At 43.9% G+C, this 7580-nt stretch overlaps 1 annotated feature.

Moving 5' to 3' along the window:
• Positions 263-763: an enhancer, noted in NCBI's record as "H3K4me1 hESC enhancer chr3:71970346-71970846 (GRCh37/hg19 assembly coordinates)". NCBI's record gives its function as "activates a minimal SCP1, AML or CMV promoter by ChIP-STARR-seq in naive H9 embryonic stem cells {active_cell/tissue: H9 hESC(naive)}" and the evidence as "EXISTENCE:reporter gene assay evidence [ECO:0000049][PMID:30033119]".

Here is a 7580-nt window from a genome sequence, read left to right as displayed (position 1 = left end):
GCACAGCAGCCGCCACATTGGTGGTCTCCAATAAATGGCTGAATACACATAGGAAGGTGGGTTAGTATATTCAGGAACTTCCAGGGTTGCATCACAGTCTGAAAGAACAGGTTGTGCAAAGGTGTTGGGACAGGTGACTCTTGGAGGTTCAGGGCCACAAGAAGGTGCTAGAAAGCAGAGCGGGAGACTGGGGTGGGTGGACCGAGCACAAACTCCTGCAGTGGTCCTGCAGTGGACACCTGCAGAGTTCCACCTGAGGCTGATACGGGGCGTGCAGGGCACGGGCCACAAGTCAACTCAGCTGTAACCACATCCAGTCCAGCCAGAGACACTTGAACCTCACCGGTCAGGGGTCCTTGTGGAGGAACTGTGTCCTATTTATTTAACTGGTGGATCTAACAGGCTTGGAGACTCCTCTCTGCCCTCCTAGAGAAGGCTTGGGAGGTGTCTATGTCTTGGCAGACAGAGAATGTGCTCACAGCTCACTGTCCTGGTCACACGATCTCGACTTCCTTTGTCGACAGAGAGGGCAAGAATGTCCAAGCCCTCCAAAAACCCTTCCTGATCAATCCTCCTAAACCCTGCTTCCCTCCTGACCCCTTAATAGTTGGGCCTTCCTTCTTGGCAAGAATATCTGAAAATAAAGTGAGAAATTCACCAGCTTATTTTCCCTTAGGCTTAGCCCAGAAGAACAAACTTTTTCTCCCTCGCCTTCTCTGAAGAGGACAAGCAGGTCTTTGTAACATGGAACCTCAAGTTTCCCTTGTCCCAGAGGATTGGTTAACAAAACAAATCTTTTAGAGGAGGAAAATCCAAGCTCTGGCTGGCAAAGGACTGAGCTACCTAAATAGGGGAGACTATGCAAGGTGGGAGGTTTACATTTCCTGGGTCTGGGGGAACAAGGGGTTTGGGTTCACTGAGTTGTAGCATTTATGCCTCATCCCACTAGAGCCCGAAGAGGCACAGGACCCTTGCTGGATGCAATGATGGGTGAACAGGGCTGACTGTCACCCCCACCCTGAGATGTTCTTCACAAGCGATGGCTCTTGAACCTTTCTAATTATTTGAGATTTTTAGTTTGTGGTTGTTATGACAATGGTGACTGTCTGATAGACACATCTGATAGCAATAATTTAACTTACACATACCCCGAGGATGACCCTGTATGGCAGACACACCTGAATGTGTGTTCGGAGTTCTGCACGTGGCCGACCGGGAGAGTCATTCCTTGTCTATAAGGAACACCTGCACTCCCAGCCTGTCCTGTAGAACATGGCCGTGTAGTGGATGGAGGCCTTTGTTTTGGGTTAAATGAAGGTTGCCAGGTGGAGGTTGTTAGGGGGAGGATGCTAAGTGAGGATGCTATGTGAACTGCACCCTTAAGCAGTTGCAGTTTTCCTGCCCAGCTTGACTGTTGTTGCTGGGCCATCGCTGTACGTAGCTTTCCCACTGGTAAAACCCTAGGTCTCATTGGCTGCCTCCAGGTCTCTCCTTCGGCCTCTTGAACCTTGTGTCATCCCTGTTGGAGTTATTACGGGTCCCACATGCGAGTGACAAGACACTAAGACCCTGGAGGTTGGAGTGGGGTGCAGGGTGGGGAAATCCAAAATTGTGTTTGGGTATATCCATTAACTATTTCAGTGGAGAGGTGGAGTAACTGCAGTTAGTGTCCCTTGCTTCGTGCTTACTGGTTTAGGCACTTTCCATAGATTAAGTCATTTAATCCTCACAACGACCCTATGAGGTTAGTACTTACACCTTTTTCCATTTAGGAAACTGAGGAGATTAAGTAATTGTTCAAGGGAACATAACAAAAAAGGCAAGTAGTCATTTGGTTACACGATTTTGGAGAGGTGTGTGTGGTGGGAGTGAGAACAAAGCTGGAAATACAGATTCGGAAGTCAACAGCTGATAAGATGATATTTAGAGCTATTGATCCCATCAGTCTTCCTGGGAAAGCACCTAGACTGGGAAAAGGAGAGTGTCTGGACCAAGCCCTAAGCACTCCCAAATTTAGAGATGAGAATATAGAGGGGTAGGAGCCACTACTGGGAACTGGAGAAAGGTCAGTGAGGTAAGAAGAAATCAACGACAGTGAGGTATTCCGGAAGCCAAGAAAGGGAAGCATTCCAAAGACCAGGAAGTGGCCAGTTGTGTCTGGAGCTGCTGGATGGCCAAGTAAGATAAAGTCTGAGAAGTGCTTTTGCAGGGAGGAAGACATTGTGCTTTTGACAGGAGCAGCTGCTTTGGAGGAGAGGGGACAAAGTCCAATTGTGGTAGAGTGGGAGGCGAGAAAGTAATGTTGGGGAGGTGCTACCTTTCAAGAAAAATCCAGGGACTGAGCTGCAAGGGCCCATGGTCCCTGGCATTCTCTCCAGCTCTCTCCACACAGCAACTTCATTTTTTTCCCCATATATGCTGTAGAGCATTTTCTATAGGTCACAAAGAAGGTCTTGTCCCATTCGGTCAATAATTGTACCAAGGAGGTGAAAATGGGAATAAAATATAAAAAATAGAATGGCAAGAACGGGATGAGCAAGTCGCAAGGATCAATGAAGCCAAACCTGTCCAGGAAAATGTATCTATCCATGAACCCCTGTCTTCAAGGAATCAATCAGCAGCTCTTGAAAAATTGTATCTCCCGTAAAAGTGTCATCAGAGCTTTCACGGTGTCATGATGCAGGTGCCAATGGCTGGGCACAGAATAGATGGCCCATTAATACTCACTGATGGGTTTATTGATTTGTGTGTCCAGTATAATTAGCCCCACTGATCTTCAATCAGTGCAGCTTGGGGAGGGGATGGAGCCAATGTATCCAGAACAGGGAGTGGAGAGCTGGGCTCTGTCCTGAGGGCCACTGGTTCCCTGCGTAGCCTGGAAGCACCCCGGACTCCTCAGATGCATGGGTTCCTCACTTGTAAAATGGGAGGATGGCAGTTCAGAGTTTCCCAAAGTGATTTCCAGTGATCCTTAATTATTTGTAACGTTAGTAGGGTTTTTTTTTTCTTTTTTTTCCTCACCAAAAGGGTTAAATGGTCAGATTTGGGCAACACTCATTTTAAATGAGCAGGAATTCTTTGAGCTTTTGGTATGCTGGATATTATAAATCTCTAAGAAATGTGATAAAGTATTCATTTATTTGTTTGATCTACATTAGCACCAAGCATATGCCGGGCACTATTCTAGTGCTGGAGACCTACCAGTGAACAAAAGGCTTCAGTCCCTCTGTGAAAGTATTTGCCTTCTAGTGAGGGAATACAAAGAGACAATCAACAGTGATAGGTCTAATGACAAATGGAGCTAAATCCTGTACAAAAAAGTAATCATAGTAACACAGCACAGGAGATAGAAGGCGGTGCTATACATAGGAGAGATGAGGCTTTCTTCTCTCATAAGAGTATTTTTGAGCAGAGACCTTAAGGAAAGGAGGAACTGTAAATGCAAGGTGGCAAAACATTTTTCCTGGTCACAGAACATCAAGGGGGTGAATGCAGCTGATATGGGGACAGTGGTGAGATGATGTGGGAGAAGAGGGGGAGAGGTTGTGTGGAACCTTCCCTCTTGGCATCTACTGGTAGAGAGGTAGATTGTGTTTTCCACACTGATGTCCTCAAACGGGACTATCATTTTTTTTCTTTGATGATGTAATTCTCAGGATTAACATCCCACTGGAATAGACAGTTTCTAAGTACAACACTAATGATATGACGTGGGTAATGGAATGATGTTCTAAACTGACCAGTGGAGAAAGTGAAAAGTATAAGTTACAGGATCTCTTGTGAAATGCTGTTCTGCTTTATAAAAAAACATGGACCAGATTGTGATTTAAGAATGGGATCTAGACTGGGCATGGTGGCTCATGCCTGTAATCCCAGCACTTTGGCAGGCAGAGGCAGGTAGATCACTTGAGGTCAGGAGTTCAAGACCAGCCTGGCCAATATGGTAAAACCCTGTCTCTACTAAAAATACAAAAAATTAGCCAGGTGTGATGGCACATGCCTGTAGTTCCAGCTACTTGGGAGGCTGAGGTAGGAGAATCACTTGAACCTGGTAGGTGGAGACTGCAGTGAGCCAAGATCATGCCATGCACTCCAGCCTGGGTGACAGAATGAGATTTCCTGTCTCCAAAAAAAAAAAAAAAAAAGCGATCTCTAAATCAGATTGCAAGACTAGTGTCAATTCCTCAATTGACTCTCTATATGACTTTGGGCAATTTCTTGGCCTTTCTATGCCTCGGCTTCCTCATCTGTAAAAATAGGAACAATTATACTTCCTACCACAATGGCCAGAGTGAGGATTAACTGAGAATTAACAAAATGCTTAATGCAGTGCCAGGCACACAGTAAGTTCTCAGTAAATGTTACCTGGTAAGATAATTAACATTAACATTTAATAAGGCTTATAAGTGCTGCCGACCAAAGAATCTGCTTCATATATTTAAAAAAAGGATGACAGAAATATAGCATCAAATGCTGGGACACCTGGAGTGCTTTCGAAGGGCTGGTGTGCTTCATGACCGTACTGTGTGTTTCACACACCATGGCCGTCATCCTGGCTGCCTGTACAGCAACTATTCCTCTGCTATCCCCTGGGGTAGCAGCCACACTCCTTGCCATGTTCCATGCCAGTTACTTGTTGCAGTGGGGCTGTTCATGCAATACAGCAGAGCTCAGGACTCGGCTAGATGGTTGGGAGAAAGGAAGCCGTCCTCTTTGCTGTGCTGTAGAGGAGAAGTCATGCAGCCAAGGAGCTGCAACAGTCATCTCTCTGCCATGAAGACAGCCAGCCCGGGCACAAGGCCAATACACAGAGCAAGGCGGAGACAGGAGACTGCCTGAGAAATGAAGCCCCATCCTGGCTCACCAGCTACCTCTATACCAACCCAATTCTGAAATTCCCCCTCCTTCACTGTAAACTCTTCAGGCCCAGGATCCAATAAATTGCTTTATTTTAAAACCATGCTAAACTGGATTTTTCTTTTACTTTATAGCCTAAAGCATCTTAACTGATACCCATCAGATAAGTTATCTCATCCTATCTCCATGACAACCCTGTTGTAAGATGCTGTTATTCCCACATTACAAATGGAGACACACTCAGAGAGGATGGCTGACCTGCTGTGGAGCTATTTCGGGACAAAAGTTTGTACAGTGGATTTAGGTTTCAAAGATCTGGGTTCCTGTCTTAGGTCTGTTATGTATGGCTATGTTTCTTCATCTGTATAATGAATATAGTTCTTTTATTTTATTTTTTGAGACAGGGTCTTGCTCTGTCGCCCAGGCTAGAGTACAGTGGTATGATCACGGCTAACTGCAGCCTCAACCTCCCAGGCTCAAGTGATCCTCCCACCTCAGCCCCCCTGAGTAGCTGGGACTACAGGTGCGTACCAGTTAATTTTTTAATTTTTGGTAGAGGCAGGGTTTCAATATGTTGCCCAGGCTGGTCTCGAACTCCTGGCCATAAGTGATCCTCCTGCCTCAGCCTCTTAAAGTGCTGAAATTGCAGCCATGAGCCACCATTCCCAGCCTAGTTCTTTTTTAAAAAAAAATCTTTTCTCCCAAGGTTGACATGGGAGCTGAATCAAACAAGATGCCTTAGCGGGAAGCTCTTTGCAACCGTAAAGTACTAAGCAAATGTTCACTCTTCCTAAGCCGTGGCTCCCATGTAGAAGCTCAGTCTTTTGAATTCTGCATGTTGCTGGCTCAAGAGGCTCAGGTTCCACCTTGTTCTTTGATACAGGTAAATATTCTGGTTTCTTGTTTATACTGATTGTTTAGCAAATTCTCCCTTTATAACTAGTAAATATCTAAAGTTAAGCCTAGGCCAGGCACAATGGCTCATACCCATATCTCAGCACTTTGGTAGGCCAAGGCAGGAGGATCCCTTGAAGCCAGGAGTTCAAGTCCAGCCTGGGCAACATAGTGAGACCATTTCCTTATAAAAAATTAGCCAAGCATGGGTGGTGTGTGGCTGTAGTCCCAGCTACCAGAGGGGTGAGGTGGGAGGATCACTTGAGCCCAGGAGGCTGCAGTGAGCTATGATCATGCCACTCTACTCTAGCCTGGGCAACAGAGCAAGACCCTGTTTCCAAAATAAAAAAATAAAAATTAAAAAAATGAAAAACCTATCCCTGACCCCACATATTATAAAAGGGAACTCAGCTGTATTCCAAACATAGGTTTTATTTATCAGTTGGCCTGCTTCTCTCATCTAAACAGGCATGCATGCCCCCAATTCCCTCAGCTTCTTGGAACCACAGACCTGTAACATTTTTCGTGGTTGGTCAGTAGATTTTCTATGTCCTGTTCACATCCCAGATGTATATTTTCTATCTTCTACCTTTAGGGATTAAAAAGATAATACATCACTGGAAAATTTTCTCTTGTTAGGAATAACTTTGAGGTAAAAGTCCCTGTAGTTATTTAGGGTAATAGAAGTGAAAGACTGTACTTCAGATAAGAGGGTGAAAATTTGTCCTTACCATGAATATACTGAAATGATTTACCTAAGTGATTCAGACTTGATTCCCCAAATATATTAATCATGAGCAAGAAGAACTGTGTTCATCTTTGCACTGTTTATATCAGAACAGAGAGCTTGTCAAACAAGGCCCTAGTTCAATAAGCATGGTATGCAAGGGGAAAAATGAAATAGATTTATTCTTGTTATTTGAGGAGTATGTGCTTTATTGTACACACTTTGCTTCTGGCTATAGAGAAAATAATTTATCTGCAAGTCTTTTCCTTTCATTTGCCTTGAATATAAAGATTAACTGGTGTTTTAACCATCTTGTTCAGGCCACATTTATGAAGGGAAGTGGTTCCCGCACAACTCCCAATATTTAAGTTGTATCATTATTCTTAAAGATATGATGGTAAGCCTTTCAGTCATAAAAGTTGGGCTATTCTTTCATATTAATAACTTGAAAGGAATTTTTTGCATTAATTTTCATGGAAGGGGAAAGTGACAACAGCCAAGAATTGGAAAAATTAATTTTCTGCAATCATATTGACTTAATTTGAACTTGTCAGCCACTGAGGTAGTACAGGTGTGTTAGAGAGTGGTATCAGATTGTTGCTCACTGTGGCTGCCCACTGGGATAAACCAAGTAGTGGGTATTACATTGAATTGTTTGCTTACTTTCTCCTCCTTTGATCAAAGGCCCTTAAAATATATTCAAGGTTGGGAGTGATGTCCTTGCAGTAGATTGCAACCTGTTTATATTGTCTTTATCAATGTCAACTGTTGGGTTTCAAGGAAGAAGAAATGTAATCCAGGTTCAAGGACAACTATTTAGAAATGCTTTCGTCTCAGAAAGAAAACCAAAACATCTCTCAGTCTCATTTACAAAATGCTTGCATTTTAAAAACTAATTTTTCTCTGCTTCTGATAAAAGCATACCCCACAGCTGAAACTACTTACAACATAGGTTTGATTGAGTTTTGTTTGTTTGTTTGTTGCAAAGCAAAGATTTCACTTTTAATTCAAAGGGATGGATACTCACGCTGTCTGAATGTCTGAATTCCTTTAGCTTGATGGAGTTTGGGACCCCACCAATTAGTTTAAACAAGATTGTGAC

Source organism: Homo sapiens, chromosome 3 (assembly GCF_000001405.40).
Source record: "Homo sapiens chromosome 3, GRCh38.p14 Primary Assembly".
NCBI lineage: Eukaryota > Metazoa > Chordata > Mammalia > Primates > Hominidae > Homo > Homo sapiens.
The sequence above is the reverse complement of the archived record's forward strand: the minus strand, read 5'-3'. Positions and strand labels throughout refer to the sequence as shown.